The sequence below is a fragment of the Homo sapiens genome, chromosome 12 (assembly GCF_000001405.40).
Source record: "Homo sapiens chromosome 12, GRCh38.p14 Primary Assembly".
NCBI classification, from domain to species: Eukaryota; Metazoa; Chordata; class Mammalia; order Primates; family Hominidae; genus Homo; species Homo sapiens.
The window spans coordinates 94,445,386-94,462,570 of record NC_000012.12 but is presented as its reverse complement, the minus strand read 5'-3'; the positions used below and the strand labels follow the sequence as shown (position 1 = coordinate 94,462,570).

Below are 17,185 nucleotides of genomic sequence, written 5' to 3'. Positions count from 1 at the left end.
TTTTGTGTCATTTTTGGTAATTTATTTATTTATTTTTTTAGGAATTTGTCCATTTTGCTTAAGTTACTGAATTTATTGGCATAAAGTTGTTCCAAGTATCCCTTTAATATCTATGTGATTTCATTAGCATTTTGGCTAATGAAAATTAAAACTTCTGTATACAAATGTAGATGACAAATAATAAATCAAAAGAAATGTGTAACATATAGCAGAAAAAGTATGTATGTGCATGTGTATATGTATGGCAGGAGCAAACAATCTACTGGCACAGAGGGAATTACAGTACAGTGTGACAAATACCATGACAGGCACACAGAGAACACATAGAATGGATACCCAGTCCAATTTGGGGAGTCAAAACTATGATGTCCAGGTGGTAGGTTAGCTTGTCCAACTATAGGTAAATGAATATAATCAAATTTATAGACACAAAAAAGCTGAGACTCAGATCCCCAGACATAGTTACTTCATCATGGTTACCTACTTGTGAAGGTCAAGAGTCAACTGGCTCCCTTTTCACTGGCACAGCTTTAATTAAAACATAAAACACAACTTTGTTTTTGTAAAATAATAAATTACAAAAAACACCAACCAGATAAAAAGTCCAAAAGACAAAATGTAAAACACTTGTATTTTGACTGACCTTCTTCCAGATATTTTTGTACACTTATATTAACATATGTACACACATATATTCACATTAGGACAGCACTGTACTTGCTAAACTACATTCTGCTTTTTTTTTCCTGAGGGGAAACTATATTTTTTGGACATACTTTAATGCAAATAAAGAACTTTCCATCAGTTTTTAATGGGTCAAGAGTATTCCATTGCATGTACCAATCATAATTTTCTTAACTAGTGTCCTAGTGATGGACACTTGTTTCTAGAAGCATTATTTTTAAAAAAGGTGGCAAATAGTATCCTTATGAATCCCTTATTTTCCTTAGGGTATATGCCTCGGAAATGAGACAGCTGTGGGGCAAAGGCTAATGCATATGTTAAATTTTGGTAAATAGGGTTGTACCAATTTCACCTTCACACCAAAAATGCCTGACAGTAATTGTATCCCACACCCCTATCAACAATGATAGACAAAAAACAACTGTTTGGAAGTGGGACAACTTTCCGTTTGTTAATTGAATATTTGTTTTTCTTGGCTTTTTGTATTTTTAATAGATGGGATTTCACCATGTTGGCCAGGGTCGTCTCGAACTCCTGACCTCAGGTGATCCACCTGCCTTGGCCTCCCAGCGTGCTGGGATTACAGGCGTGAGCCACCGCCATTTCCCGAATGATCTTTTTCCTACTGACCAATAATTTGTCATGTATAGTTTACTGGCTACCACAGAGATTTCTGGAGTTGTCTGGCTCCAGCGTTTAAAAGTAATGGTTTTGGGCAACTCTGTGAAATGGAGATAACAATTGCACCTACCTTACAGAAATGTTAGAGTTAAATAAGATAACCTGAAAAAGTACTCCAGTACTTGCCACACAAATGCTCAGCAAATGTGAGCTACTGTTATTATACTAAACACGCACACATACATGAGAATTTCTGGATTCTCTATTCTATCTCCCATGTCTCATCTATGTAATCCATCCAGCAACATTCCATTACCAACTCGCTGTCCTTTTTTTCCCTCCTCTTAAGAGACACGGTCCTTTCTAATGGCCCGTTTTCCCTCATTTCAACAACAACAAAATCACCTCTCAGTTGTCCAATAATAACTACAGCCTGAAAATCATAATCTTGGGGGTAAAAATAAGCTGTACTTCACAAAGCAGTGAGAATCAAAGCCCAACCAAGGCACTGAACAAACGCTGGGGATGGGAAGGTGTCTGTTTCTTCCAACACGTATTTTGAAAGGCTGACCGCCTACTTTGTTTCAGACTTTGGATGATCATGGAAGTTCTCAAAAGCTAGCAACTCCTCTTCCAACTATTGTTTACAGCCTTAAGACAAGTAGTTCCCCATGTGACCCCAGGTGGGCCCTGAACTTGGGATAACCAGGACAGGAGACTTGGAGCAGGAGGTGCGGGGGCGAGGAGGGCTCTCTCCCGGGCGATTGGTCCTAACCCGAGGTTCCCTCGTGGCAAGCTGAGCCGACTCCCCACTCGTGGGCTGATGCCCGAGGCAGACGCGGCAGGCAGGCGGCTTCGGGAGCGCATATCTGCACCCATGGGGACGATGGCAGGCTGGCGAAGGGAGAGAGGTGGCGGCAGGACTACCATTTGAGGCTCTCAAATGGTGTGGGGAAGAGGGAAGGAGAGGCGCGAAAAGGAGGAAAACCCCTGGAGACGCTGTGTCGGGCGGAGGCTAGGGAGACCGGCTTCGCGCTCCAACGACGCGCATCACTCAGACTCCAAGGCAAGTGCCCGGGGCTAGATTTTCCGTCCCCTGGGGCTCTGGGGATCTCTGAGTCCATCCCAGGGCCCTCCAGGAACGCCTTCGGGAGCGCAGCCCGGCCCCGCCGCTGCCGCTGTCACCCGTGGCCGCTCCCGCCTCGGTTCGTTTGTCTCCTCCCTCTAACGGCTCCGGCAGCAACCGGCGTCGGTGGCGTGGGTGACGTCGGCGTGGGGGGTGGGACTTCCTGCTTCGCGTGCCGCTGGGCCAAGGGACAGAGCCCGCTCCTCCAGGCTGGTGGGGCGGTGCGATGAGGCGGCTTCTGGGCCATACGTCAGCACGTGGGGTGGCGCCGCACCCCTGAGGATCCCGGTCCACGCGGAGGAGTGGGGCTTTTCACCGCCGCCGCCGCCGCCCTCGGACCTCTCCCGGGATACTTCACATTTCCCTAGGGACGGGAGCCCGAGGGGTCCGTTCGGCCCTCTTCCTCTCGCTGGGCCGACACCCCGCTGTAGGACCGTAACCCTTAGTCCCAATGCCTCCGTAAGCGGAGTTGAGTGGGTGCCTGTGGTTGGAGCTGTGGAGGTGTCCCCGGTGGCGAGCGCGGCCAGAACTGCGGTCACTTAAGTTTTCCGTGTGCGGGTTGCAAGGAGCGTGCGTGCGTCTGGTATGTAACCTCTCTTTCTGGGGACGGTGTCTTGTTTGTATTTTGGAATACTCATTTTGTCCCTCCACAAACTGCCCTTGAATCCTTTTTTTATTTTCCTGTTAAAGTAGTGGAAGCTCGTGCTAGAAAAGTAGGCAGAGAGACGCACGTGAAACTCTTCATGGAGCTTTTGGATGCACTCTGGCTTGGTGGTTGTGTAGCCAGTTTGGTAATTGGCCAGACGTTTAAGTACCTCCAGCTTAATTTACGATGAAAAAGCTATGCTACCATTTTCCTTGGCTTTGAAGACAATTTGAATGAACAGTGATGTCGACTGTCATTACTGAGATAAACACCTAAAATATGTTAGCATATGCTGGGTTTAAATACTTTGGTTAATCCTCAGTGTCCAACTTTTGACCATAATCAATGGGCATTTTGCTCTTAAGAATATCCACTGCTAAGTATTTGTAAAGCCTTTAGTTAGCTGAAATGAGGAAGCTCTTTCAAATCTTACAGATCTCTAGGATAAGGAAAGACTTGTCTGAATTTCGTGTATATGATATATACTTCATAATCTGTTCAGACTTTAAGCAGCTCTAAAACAGAGTGGGTTGTTAAAGCAGTGCTTCTGTTACCAAGCAACATGTCTGTAAACAAGTCTGACATTTAACTAAAACACAATTAAAGGTATCTATCCTACAGTTACCTGGATTTAGAATTTTCCATATTTATGAATTTAGCCTGTAAGTGGTTAGAATTAATACTCACCTTTTGTATTGAGGTTTGATTTCAAACTCAGTTTGTTCAGAATTGTTAGAATGCTTTATTTATTTATTTATGACTGAGTCTCACTCTGTCGCCCAGGCTGGAGTGCAGTAGCGCGATCTCGGCTCACTGCAACCTCCGCCTCCTGGGTTCAAGCGATTCTCCTGCCTCAGCCTCCCGAGTAGCTGGGATTACAGGTGCGTGCCACCATGCCCGGCTAATTTTTTTATTTTAGTAGAGATGGGGTTTCACCATGTTGGCCAGGCTGGTCTCAAACTCCCGACCTCAGGTGATCCGCCCACCTCGGCCTCCCAAAGTGCTGGGATTACAGGTGTGAGCCACCGCACCAGGCCAGAATGCTTTAAATTATAAGTGTCACACAGGACTCTCCTGAGAGTTGCAAATGGTTTTGAGTTGTCCTTTGGTTATTTAGGACAGAGTATGCTGGGTATTCCCCTTACTTTGAGTGTTTTCTTTCCAGATCAGATGAAGTGCGCGGACTGTATTTAGAACATTCTCAAATAATAGTGAAATACAATTTAGAATTCCATGCAGCACTGGGAGAATGAAACACTGATTATTCACAGGTAGTTTTTTTTTTTTTCTTTTTTTGAGACAGAGTTTCATTCTTGTCGCTCAGGCTGGAGTGCAGTGGTGGGATCTCAGCTCACTGCAACTTCCGCCTCCCAGTTTCAAGTGATTCTCTCCTCTCAGCCTCCCGAGTAGCTGGGGTTACAGGTGCATGCCACCATGCCCTGCTAATTTTTGTATTTTTAGTAGAGATGGGGTTTCACCATATTGCCCAGGCTGGTCACGAACTCCTGACTTCAGGCGATCTGCCCACCTTGACCTCCCAAAGTGCTGGGATTACAGGTGTGAGCCAGCGTGCCTGGCCTATTCACAGGTAGTTTTTAATCCTTGGTTTACCAGTCACCTCACTGTCTCCTCTTATTGAACCCTTAATGATAAAATTTTTATGGCAAGTTGTTAGTTTTTAGAGCACTTTTTGAATGATCTTTTCAATCAATAACCTTTCAAGTAAGCAAGTATGTGAGAAAATTTGAGACATGATGAGACTAAATGACTTCTTTGAAATCTATTAATAATGGGAATTGGAACTTGAAGTTTAATGTTCTTTATGTCAGATACCCTTATGTATTGCTAAAATCCATGGACTTAATTTTAGTTCTCTCCTCCTTTTTTCTATATGCTGATGTTGAAGTAATGAAATATTCAAAAGTTGGGCAAGATGGAGGAGACAAATCAAGAATGACTCGTATAATCCTTAGTAATCAGAAATCAGCATTATGTCATGGGATGTTCTAATTCAAGAAGCTTAGAGTGAAATCTTAACAGAAAGATTAGTGAATTTTAGTGAATTGTCAGAATTTCCCCACCCCCAGGTACTGTCTCTTTGCCTAAAAGTAGATGAGCTTGCTTTTAATTTTGTCATACATATTAGGTTCCATAAGTAAATTGCCCACATTGTTTAACCTATGTGCTTTTAGGGAATGTGTGTAAATCTGTGTAAAAAACTTCCTTTTAACCCAAGTTCATGTTTCTTGACTTAAGGTGAATTATTTGAAATCCTCTCACCTTGCCTTTTCAAGTGTATGTTCTTTATGGAAAAGGTGTCTCTGCCCAGATTGGTTTCTTCACTATCCCCTAAACCTGCTCTGTACTTTATCCTTTCCATATTAGTCTGCATATCTTTCTATCCCCCGTGACCTGATCTTATTCCCTTCTTTCTTAAAATCTAAATTGTACCTTTTCTATAAGGTTCAACTCCACCATGACCTCATACATACATACATAGGAATAGTATGTATTTGTGAGTTAAATTTATTTGATACTTATACTTTTTATTGTATTATTTTAGCTTTCTTGACTTCCTAACTAGATTGTAAGCTTATTAAGGGCAGGACTTCAGATCTCGATGAGCTGTATCCTTAGTCTTTTCCAAATACAAGTTGCTGAATAAATGTTTCTTAAAGATGACTGATATGATTAGGCTTTGTGTCCCCACCCAAATCTCACCTTGAATTATAATCCCCATAATCCCCATGTGTCAGGGAAGAGACCAGGTGGAGGGAATTGGATCATGGCGGCGGTTTCCCCCATACTGTTCCTCGTGACAGTGAGTTCTCATGAGATCTGGTGGTTTTATAAGTGTTTGGTAGTTCCTCCTGCATTCATTCTCCTTCCTGCTACCTTGTGAAGAAGGTGCCTTGCTTCCCCTTCACCTTCTGCCATGATTGTAAGTTTTCTGACGCCTCTCCAGCCATGTGGAACTGTGAATCAATTAAACCTCTTTCCTTTATAAATTACCCAATCTCAGGCAGTTCTTTATAGCAATATGAAAATGGACTAATACAATGACAGATAGGCATTTCTACTTTCCCCCACTTTTGTAAGTATCATGAAAGTAAGGTTGTTGAGAGAAGAGAGTAAGTGAAGGGGAAATGGCAACAGTAAACTATAAAAAAGATTGAAGAGTGGGAATTCACGGAATCAGAAATAAAGATTCTGTTCCTAGAAAGTGAGTATTTGAGAATTTCCCATGGCAATACCAGCAGTAAGGACTCTCAGGAATGCTGGCACTATTCTTCAGTGGGCTTGGGGAGTTTGGTCAATTTCCTGGTTCCTAGTAGAATATCAGTTTATTAATTATATTTTTTTCATCAGGACTGCCCTCTCTAGGTCATGGAGAGATCACTGACTGTCAAGTCTAGTACTATTTCTTTTTTCTTTTTTTTTTTTTTGAGATGGAGTTTTGCTCTGTCGCCCAGGCTGGAGCGTAGTGGTGCAATCTTTGTTCACTGCAACCTTGAACTCGTGGGTTCACGTGATTCTCCTGCCTCAGCCTCCCAAGTGGCTGGGGCTAACAGGTGCATGCCACCACACCTGGCTTTTTTTTTGTATTTTGAATAGAGACAGGGTTTCACCACATTGGCCAGGCTGGTCTCGGAACTCCTGGCCTCAAGTGATTCACCCACCTTGGCCTCCCAAAGTGCTGGGATTGTAGGTGTGAGCCAATGCGCCCGGCCTACTATTTCTTTTAACTGAGCTATAATCCAGGATGGAAGAAATTAAGGAAATGCCCAGTTATTTGCCTTCTGTATATTGTGACTTCAGATTGCTTTTGGATTAAAATTCAGAGTTAGTAGGAACCTAAACCTGGCCATTCCCTTTTGGAAAGCACCTATCTTCTGTCTCAAAATATGTCTATAAAATGTCCATGTAGTTTTTACAGTCTCACCAAAAATCCTGTATCTAATGCTTATAACAAAGAGTTACTTCAGTTGAAGATATAGAAAGTGAAGTTGAGTCTCAGAATGCTTTCATAAATATTCGTTTGATTCAGTTACTTCTTGAGTGAATTTGCCATTCTAGCTTCTGAGTTGTTGCCCAGTAACACAATTGCAGTATAATATAGCAACCCTTGAAAACAGTAGCATTGGACTATAGGGATTTTCCTGATGAAGTTGCATTGCCTATCTCTGATGTTCATATTCAGCCTCTCTCAAGTGTGATTGCATTTTGTTTTAAGGCAGCTATTTCAGATATTGTTAAACTTAAGGGGCATGCAATATATGCTCTTAAGGATATTTTTTAGAGTACTGATGAATTATAACTTCTTTCACATTGTTTTCCACATAGAGATGCATGATAATGTGTCCGGAATTGGTTCATTCTGGTGGGTTCTTGGTCTCGCTGACTTCAAGAATGAAGCTGCGGACCCTCGTGGTGAATGTTGCAGTTCTTAAAGATGGTGTGTCCGGAGTTTGTTCCTTCAGATGTTCAGATGTGTCCGGAGTTTCTTCCTTCTGGTGGGTTCATGGTCTTGCTGACTTCAGGAGTGAGGCTGCAGACTTTTGCAGTGAGTGCTACAGCTCTTAAAGGTGGCGCGTCCGGAGTTGTTCATTCCTCCCGGTGGGTTCGTGGTATTGCTGGCTTCAGGAGTGAAGCTGCAGACTTTCGCAGTGAGTGTTACAGCTCTTAAAGGTGGCGCGTCCGGCATTGTTCATTCCTCCCGGTGGGTTCGTGGTCTCGCTGGCTTCAGGAGTGAAGCTGCGGACCTTCGTGGTGAGTGTTACAGCTCATAAAGGCAGTGTGGACCCAAAGAGTGAGCAGCAGCAAGATTTATTGCGAAGAGCAAAAGAACAGAGCTTCCACGGCATGGAAGGGGACCCGTGTGGGTTGCTGCTGCTGGCTCAGGTGCCTAGCTCTTCTTCCCTTATTTGGCCCCACCCACATCCTGCTAATTGGTCCATTTTACAGAGAGCTGATTGGTCCATTTTACAGAGTGCTGATTGGTCCGTTTTTACAGAGTGCTGATTGGTGCGTTTACAAACCTTTAGTTAGACACAGAGCGCTGATTGGTGCATTTGCAATCCTTTAGCTAGACAGAAAAGTTCTCCAAGTCCACACCGGACCCAGAATCCCAGCTGGCTTCATGTCTCAATAAGTATGTATTGAATTATTTTTTGTGTGAAGGACACGTGAAAATACTGGTTCAATTAAAGATTATTCTGGGCAGAAAAAGTATTATGTAATAACAGACTTCTCTACAACTGATATAGCCAGCCAGAGCTGGAGTGGATGAAGTTGAAATGGTTCTTTATAACATTTTTGTATTACTTCTAGAGCTTCATAGAAAGCTGAGATCACTAAGCACAATTTAATAGGTACTCTAATTTTTTTTTTTTTTTTTGAGACATAGTCTTACTCTGTCAGCAGGCTAGAGTGCAGTGGTGTGATCTCAGCTCACTGCAACCTCTGCCTCCTGGGTTCAAGCGATTCTCCTGCCTTAGCCTCCCAAGTAGCTGGGACTACAGGCACATGCAACCATGCCCAGCTAATTTTTTGATTTTTAAGAGAGACGGAATTTCACTATGTTAGCCAGGATGGTCTTGATCTCCTGACCTTATGACCCACCTGCCTTGGCCTCCCAAAGTGCTGGGATTACAGGTGTGAGCCACTGCGCCCGGCCTAGGCACTGTAATTTTGTGGGAAGAGAATTGTGATTCAGGAGACCAAGGCTTGACTGGGTGAGTCACTTCACCTTTCATGGCCTATTTTCTCATTTGAAAACATAAATCTCTGAAAGTTTCCTTCAGAAATGGTATGCTTCCAATTTAAAGCAAATTTTATTTCTCTTATATATGGGTTTAATCAATATTTGAGTGCCTATTATGTGTCTCATGCTATGCTAGGCACTGGGGAGATTGTGAATAAGACATAGTGCTAAGTCTCAAGCACCTTATTCTCTGATGGGAGAAATGGACAAAGTAATTAGTAATTTGTAATAAAGCATGTTAAATGCTATAAGGATAGATAAGAATGTGTTTTGGGGCATGTAGGAAGAATACCTGGCCTAGAACTAGAAAGAATACACAAAAATTGAGGAATGTCTCTTTAGAATCTTGTAAGTGTAGTTGTAGGGTGTACAGAGCAGTATTCAACTTGGCCCGGAGGAAGTTAGTCAAAGAAAACTAGGAAAACAATTCTTGAAGTTGGAGAGAGAGAAGAGTCATCAACGTTAGTGGTAGTTGAAATACCAGGTATAGATGAGGTTCCTAGTGAGAGTTGTGTAGAATCAGAAGAGAGCTTGTGAACACCAGCATGTAATAGGAAGGGGGAGAAAGAAGGTAGGAAAACCAGAGTAGGGTAACGTTTTGGAAACCAAAGAAAGAATGCACATCACATTTAGTTTATTGATTAAATGGAAATTGTTGCTCAAGAAACATTGAGTGTGTAGTCCTATAAATGTAAACCTATCTAAATAAAGATGCCCTCTACAAAGATCTGAACTTGCAAATGGGGGTAGTTTAAGTCCTTGTTTAGCAGCGTAACAGAGGAAAGAGTATGTACTTTGGAGCCTGGATCCTGAGAGTGAAGGTTAGATTACTAGCTGCGTAACTTTTTGAACCAGTTACTTAATTTTTTGGTCCTTAATGTATGGATTAAAATAAGGTAAGCTGTAAACTTGACTTTTAGTGGGCATTGTTGATTTTTATCCTTGCCATTATTAATGACTCTTCTGAACTACATACCCTTCTTTTCCTTCCCCATCCCCCGTCATATTCTTTCATCCTTCAAGATCCACCAAAATTCCTGCCTTTTCTTTGATATCTTCCTCTATGGATGATATTACAAATTTTCTGTAATGGAATGAACATGTCCTGTGTCCCTTAGAATTAGCAACGTTATTCTTTTTTCTTTTTCTTTTTTAAAGCCTTAAGAAGGAAATTGTATTATCTCACATGTAAGAAGTCTGGAGATAGGTGGTTCTAAGATTGTCAATTAAGTGGCTTAGTGATAATCTTTAAGAACCTGGATTCTTTTTGCTTGGTCATCCTTTGAACTCAGCCTTGATTACTACAACTATCAACAAATTTTCCAAAGTTTGGAAGAGATAACTTCTTTCTTCTACCTAGCCCTTTTTAAACAGCTTTATTGAGATATATTTTACCTACCATAAAAACCACTCATTGTAAGTGTACAATTTAATGGTTTTTAGCAACTTTATAGAGTTGTGCGACTGTCATCACAAGGCAATTTCTGACATTTTATCAGTCTCCTAGATTCTCTCAAGCTTATTTGCATTTAAGGTAACTCCTTCCCACAGCCCCAGAGAACCACTGATCTACTTTCTATCACTATAAATTTGTCTTTTCTACATATTTCATATAAATGGAATCAATACAGTAGTCTTTTGCATCTGGCTTCTTTAACTTCATGCTTTTGAGGTTTATTTAATGTATGTATATCAATGTTTTGTTCTTTTTAATTGTTGCATAGTATTCGTGTGTATTTTCCATTCACCAGTTGAATAGTATTGGTGAATAGTATTTCCCATTTACTGGTAACCAGTGAATAGTATTTCCCATTCACTAGGTGATAGACATTGGATGGTTTCCAGTTTTTGGCTGTTATGAATAATGCTGCTATGAAGATTTGTCTGTAATTCCTTGTGTGAGCATATGTATTCATTTGTTTTGGGTAAATTCCTAGGAGTGGAATTGTTGAATTATATGGTAAGCTTATTTTTAACTTTTAAAGAAACTGTCAAAATGTTTTCCAAAGTAGCTGTACCAATTACATCCTACCAGCAATGTATGATGATTCCAGTTTCTCCACATCCTCACCAACAGTTGGTATTATCTTTTTAATTATAGCCATTCTAGTTAGTATCTAGTAGTATCCCATTGTAATTTTAATTTGCATTTCCCTGCACAGTAATGTTGGACACCTTTTTCTGTGGTTATTGGCCATTTGGTGGAATATCTGTTTAAGGCATTTGCCCATTTTTTAGCTGGGTTTTTTTTTTTTTTTTTTTGGTCTTACTGAGTTGTAAGAGTTCTTTATATATGCTGGATGAAAGTTTGTATTGTTTTTAATATCAGAGATAAGATTTGCAAATATTTCTCCCAGTTGGTGTCTTGGCTTTTCATATTTTTACTGTTGTCTTTTGAAGTGCAAAAGTTTTTAATGAAGTCATTTCTTTTGTGTGTGTGGCACGTACTTTCATGTTATGTATACGAACTTTTTGCCTAATCCAAGGTCCCAAAGATTTTTCTTTGAGCTCCCAAAGGTCTTCTTTGAGCTCTTTCCTTTAAATATAAGATTCATATTGAATTAACCGTGCATTTGATGTAAGAAGAGGATCTAAGTTCATTTTTTAAAAATGTGAATGCCAAATTATCCAGTACCATTTGTTAAAAAGACTGTTCTTTTCCCTTCAATTGTATTGGCATCTTTGTAAAATATCAGTTGACTATAATGTAAGAATTTATTCCAAGACTCATGTCTATAAACCTATCCTTACTCCAACACTATTCTGTCTTGATTACTGCAGTTTTATAGTAAGTTTCAAAATAAGTAGTGTAACATTTTCTTCTTTTTCAAAATTGGTTCTATGCTCTTTCCATTTCCATATACAATTTAGGATCAGCTTGTTAATTTCTACAAAAACACATCTGATGTTTGTAGGATTTGCATTGAATCTATCCATCAATATGGGAAGAATCACTAACTTAACCATCTTGAGTCTTCCAATCCATGAACATGTAATATCTCTCCATTTACTTAGATCTTTCATTTCTCTTAATAATGTTTTTTACTTTTCAGTGTACAAATCGTGCACTTATTTGGTTAAATTTATTCCTAAGACTGTTATAATTTTGATGCTCTTGGAAATGGAGTTTTCATGATTTGATTTCAAATTGTTCATTGTTAGCACAAAAAAATGCAATCGTCCAGGCTTGGTGGCTCACGCCTGTAATCCCAGCACTTTGGGATCCAAGGCAGGTGGATCACGAGGTCAGGAGATCGAGACCATCTTGGCTAACACGGTGAAACCCCGTCTCTACTAAAAATACAAAAAAGTTAGCTGGGAGTGGTGGCGGGCACCTGTAGTCCCAGCTACTCGGGAGGCTGAGGCAGGAGAATGGCGTGAACCCGGGAGGCGGAGCTTGCAGTGAGCTGAGATTGTGCCACTGCACTCCAGCCTAGAAGACAGAGCGAGAATCTGTCTAAAAAAAAATGCAACCAATTTTTGCATATTGTTTGTACATAGATGATCATGTCTCAAAACGATACTTTTTCTTTCCAATCTCAATGTTATTTATTTCTTCATTTTTGCTTTAATTCTTGGGTTAGACCCTCCAGTAAGATGTTGAAGAGAAGTGTTGAATGTGCATTGCATTACTCCCAGTCTTAGGGGGAAAACATGCAGATTTTTGCCATCAGGTATAATGTTAGCTGTAGATTTTCTATAGATGCCCTTTGAAGAAGGTTAAGGAAGCTCCCTTATGTTCCTAGTTTGTTGCAAGTTTTTAATCATGAGTGGGTGTTAGATTTTGTCATGTTTTTTCCTGCATCTGATGATATGGTTATATGATTTTTATTGTTAGTATGCTATATATTAATTGATTGTTGGAGATTAAACCCACCCTGTATTCCTGGGACAGATCACACTTGGTCATGCTGTAAAATCTTTTTTTTTTTTTTTTTTTTTTTTTTTTTATTGTTTGAGACAGACTCTTGCTCTGTGACCCAGGCTGAAGTGCAGTGGTGTGATTTTGGCTCACTGCAGCCTCAAACTCCTGGGCTCATGCGATTCTCCGGCTTCCGCCTCCCAAGTGGCTGGGGCTACAGGCTCATGCCACCACACCTGGCTATTTTTCTTTTTTTTTTTTTTTCGGTATTTTTTGTAGAGACAGGGTTTTGCCATGTTGCCTGGGCTGTTCTTGAACTCCTTGGCTCAAGCGATTTACCTGCGTGGCCTCCCAAAGTGCTGGGACTACAGGCTTAAGCCACCATGCCCAGTCCGTGCTGTATAATCTCTGTTATATGTTGTTGAATATGGTTTGTCTGATTATTATTAAGGAATTTTGGGTATATGTTCCTGAGGGATATTAGTCTGTTGGTTGCTCGTGATCTTGCTCTTACTGCTTTAAATGTTTGATAGCATTCATTAGTGCAGTTGTGGGGGCCTGGCCATTTCTTTGTGGGAATATTTAAAATTATTGGTTCAGTTTCTTCACTTCTTGTTATAGGTCTATTCAGATTTTCTCTTTCTTCTAGAGTTTTGGTAATTTGTATGTTCTAGGAAGTGTAGTCCATTTCATATAAATTATCTAATTTGTTGATACGAAGTTTGTATTAAGAAATCCTTTAATAATTTAAGGTTGGCAATAATTTTCCCTCTTTCATTCTTGATTTTGGTAATTTGTATCTCTTATTTTCTTGGTCAGTATAGTGAAGTTTTTTTTTTTTTTTCGATTTTGTTGATCTTTCCAAAGAACCAACCTTTTATTTCACTGATTATTTTTCATATCTATATTTTCTATTTCACTGATTTCCACACTACAAAATTATTATTTTTCTGCTTGTTTTGGGTTTAATATCCCCTCTGCTCCTTATTTTTCTAGTTTCCTAAGATGGAAGCTTAGATTATTGGTTTGAGACCTTTTTTCTTTTCTCATATAAATGTTTAAAACTATACATTTCCTTCTAAGCACTGCTTTAGTTGCATTCTGTACATTTTGGTTTGCTGTGTTTTGTTTTCATTCAATTCGAAATATATTTTAAAATTTTTCCTTGCAATTTCTTCTTTGATCAATGGGTTATTTAGAGGTATGTTTTAAAATTTACCAATAATTGAGGTGTTCCTAGATTTATTTTTGTTCGGATGACTAATTCCATTGTGATCAGATCACACATTTTTTATGAGTTCAATCTTTTAAATTTTATTGAGACTTGTCTTGTGCCCCAGTATGTGGTGTATCCTGGAAAATTTTCCTTGTGTTTGTAAAAAGGTTGTATATTCTGCAATCATTGGGTGGTATTTTCTGTCAGTTATGTCAAGTTTATTGATGAGGTTAGTCAAGACTTCTATATCCTTGCAGATTTTCTGTCTTTTTCTATCAGTCATTGCAGTCTTCAGCTGTTTCTGTTGAATTACCTATTTCTCTTTTTAATTATCTCTTTTTTTGCTTCATGTATTTTGGGGTTCTTTGGTTAGATGGACAGTTATTGTTATATCTTCCTGATATAGTGACCCTGTTTTCATTATGAAATGGCCTCCTTTGTCTGTAATATTTCTTATCTTAAAATCTATTTTTCTTGGTACTATAGCCACTCTAGTTTTTTTTGTGGTTACTGTTTCTATGGTGTATTTTTTTAAAAAAATCCTTTTAATTTTAACCTGTTTATGTCTTTGAATTGAAGATTTATCTCTTGTTGACAGCCTATAGTTAGGTTTTGTAATCCATTGTAATATAATCCCCCCTTTGAATAGAGTGTTTAGTTCATTCACATGTAATGTAATTGTTGATATTATTGGATTTACATCTGCATTTTTCATATTTGTTTTCTATTTGTCTCATTTGTTTTTTGCTTTTTCCTCTTTTCTTTACCATCTTTCTGTGTTAAATATTCTTTAGTGTATCTTTTTATTTCTGTTGATTTCTTTTGCTATATTGTTAGGGATTACAATATGCCTTTTAACTTAATTACAGTCTCCTTCAGAATAATACTAAATTCTGATAAATTATAGAAACTTTCCTCCAGTGTTATCTGTTTTTTCTCTTTTTGGTGCTATTATTATTATATATATTACAGCTGTATGTATTACAAACTCAGCGACACAGTACTATAATTATTCCTTTATGTAGTCTTATGTCTTTAAACGAGATGAAGTGAAAATAATTATATTTTTAGAGTCTTTAATATTTACTGATGTAATTACAGTTTCCAATGAGCTTCATTCTCCTGTAGAGTATTATTTTTCTTTTTTTTCCAGACAGGTTCTCCTGTTTTCCAGGCTGGAGTGCAATAGTGCGATCTTGGCTCACTGCAGCCACCGCTTACCCAGTTCAAGCAATCCTCCTGCCTCAGCCTCTCAAGTAGCTGGAACTACAGGCACGTGCCACCACACCTGGCTATTTTTTGTAGAGATGGGGTTTTGCCATGTTGCCCAGGCTGGTCTCGAACTTCTGGGCTCAAGTGAGCCACCCACCTTGGCCTCTCAAAGTGCTGGGATTACAGGCATGAGCCACTGTGCCCAGCCTAGATTAAACTTTATGGTGTGACTTCCTTTTATCCTGAGGGACTTCCATTGTTATTTCTCATAAGGCATGTCTCACAGCAGCGACTTGTCTTCGTCTTTGGTTATCTATCTGAAAATGTCTTTATTTCATCTTCATTTTTGAAGGGCAGTTTTGCTGAATATAGAATTTTTAGTGGTGAGTTTTTTGTGTTTCTTTAAAAAAATTTGTTTTTTCCATGTCATTTCTGATGAGAAATCAACGTTAATAATATTGTTGTTGCCCTGTATGTGAAGTCATTTTTCTCTCGCTCCTTTTTAAAGATTTCCTCTTTGTGTTTCAGCATTTGCAGGTTTCTTTGGATTTGTTGGGCTGTTTAGATGTGTCAATTAATGTTTTTCATTAAATTAGGGAAGTTTTTGGCGATTATTTCTTCAAAACTTCTTTTCTGCCTCTTTCTCTCTTTACTGACCTTCTAGAACTCCCACTGCATATTTCGTGTACAGTATGTCGTCACTTAACATTATTTTTTATTTTTCTTTTTCTTTGAGGTGGGGTCTTGCTCTCTTGCCAGGGTGGAGTGCAGTGGCATGATCTCAGCTTAGTGCAGCTTCCACCTCTCAGGTTCAAGCGATTCTCTTGCCTCAGCCTTCCAAGTAGCTGGGACTATAGGTGCGCACCACCACACCCGGCTAATTTTTGTAATTTTAGTAGAGATGGGGTTTCACCCTGTTGGCCAGGATGGTCTCGATCTCCTGACCTCATGATCTGCCTGCCTTGCCCTCCCAAAGTGCTGGGATTACAGGCATGAGCCACCACGCCCGGCCGTCACTTAACATTATTGATAGGTTCTTGGAAACTGACTTTAAGTGAAATGATGTATCATGAAACCAACTTTACCCTAGACTAATTGATAAAAACAATAGTTAAATTCCTATGGCATATCTCTGGTCAAAAAACATCATCAAACTTCTAAATAAAGACCCAAGACACTTCCAACATTAAACGTTGAAATAAATGTGAGCTATAATGTTTAAGAAAGATTAGTAAAAAAAACAAGTAAGATAGTTACTTACCTAATTTTTGGTGAACCAGTGAGTGACAATGGTCATAGTGGTGGTGGGTTAACCCAAGAAATAAATGTTTGCAAAGCAAAAAATATAAGGGACACCTCTTACTATCATGCAGTTCAAAAATAATCACAAATATGGCAGGCTTGATAAGAGTGCTTTTGTACTACATAGTATTGTCATGCATTTACATGATTATATACTTTATTTGAAATTTCATTTTACAATAATTTGTATTCATTCATTCATTCATTTTCCAGCCTGCTCTAGGGTTCAGGCTTTCTGGTGGCTAGAGCCTATCCTGGCACAGAACCAACCCTGGACAGGATGACATTCCATTGCGTGGTGCACTTAAATACACACCCATACTCATTCCTACTGGGACAATTTCAATCTCCCAGTGAATCTAATGTGCACATCTTTAGGATATGAGAAGAGGAAACTGGAGTACTTGGAAAATACAAACAAATGTTTACTTAATCTTTTTTGGTGAAGTGTCCATTTGAATGTTTTGCCCATTAAAAAAATTTTGATTGTTTATTTTCCTATCATTTAGTTTTGAGAGTTCTTTATTCTGGATGCAAGTGCTTTATAAGATTTATGATTTGCAGTTTTTCCCCTGAGTCTGGTATATCTTGTCATTTATGTAACAGTGGATTTTGAAGAGTAGTGGATTTTGAAGTTCTTCATTTTGATGAAATCCAGTTTGTCAGTTTTTTCTTTTATGGACTGTGCTTTTGGTGTTATATCTGAGAAGTCTTAACCCAAGATCAAAATGATTTTCTCCTGTATTTTTTTT

At 39.4% G+C, this 17,185-nt stretch overlaps 1 protein-coding gene and 1 long non-coding RNA gene across 36 annotated transcripts in view, besides 2 other annotated features; one reads left to right on the top strand and one right to left on the bottom strand.

Moving 5' to 3' along the window:
- Positions 1 to 2,568, bottom strand: CEP83-DT (CEP83 divergent transcript). The gene has a single exon (NR_027035.1). It is a non-coding gene; the product is annotated as a CEP83 divergent transcript (long non-coding RNA).
- CEP83 (centrosomal protein 83) overlaps positions 2,117 to 17,185 on the top strand; it is a 194,793-nt gene continuing 179,724 nt past the window's right edge. For 30 of the 35 annotated variants that reach the window (XR_007063082.1, XR_007063081.1, XR_007063083.1 and 27 more), the window contains exon 1: positions 2,704 to 3,014. The gene's annotated coding sequence lies outside the window, so the exon portion shown is untranslated. Of the gene's footprint in view, positions 2,372 to 2,703; positions 3,015 to 17,185 lie in introns of those variants that run through there. The other 5 variants (NM_001368040.1, NM_001368038.1, NM_001368039.1 and 2 more) reach the window with 1 other exon arrangement.
- Positions 2,238 to 2,287: an enhancer, noted in NCBI's record as "active region_6785". NCBI's record gives its function as "activates an Ori minimal core promoter by ATAC-STARR-seq in GM12878 lymphoblastoid cells {active_cell/tissue: GM12878}" and the evidence as "EXISTENCE:reporter gene assay evidence [ECO:0000049][PMID:35858748]".
- Positions 6,627 to 6,776: a silencer, noted in NCBI's record as "fragment chr12:94849571-94849720 (GRCh37/hg19 assembly coordinates)". NCBI's record gives its function as "represses an EF-1alpha promoter that drives an FKBP-Casp9 reporter gene in an ReSE screen in K562 erythroleukemia cells {active_cell/tissue: K562}" and the evidence as "EXISTENCE:reporter gene assay evidence [ECO:0000049][PMID:32094911]".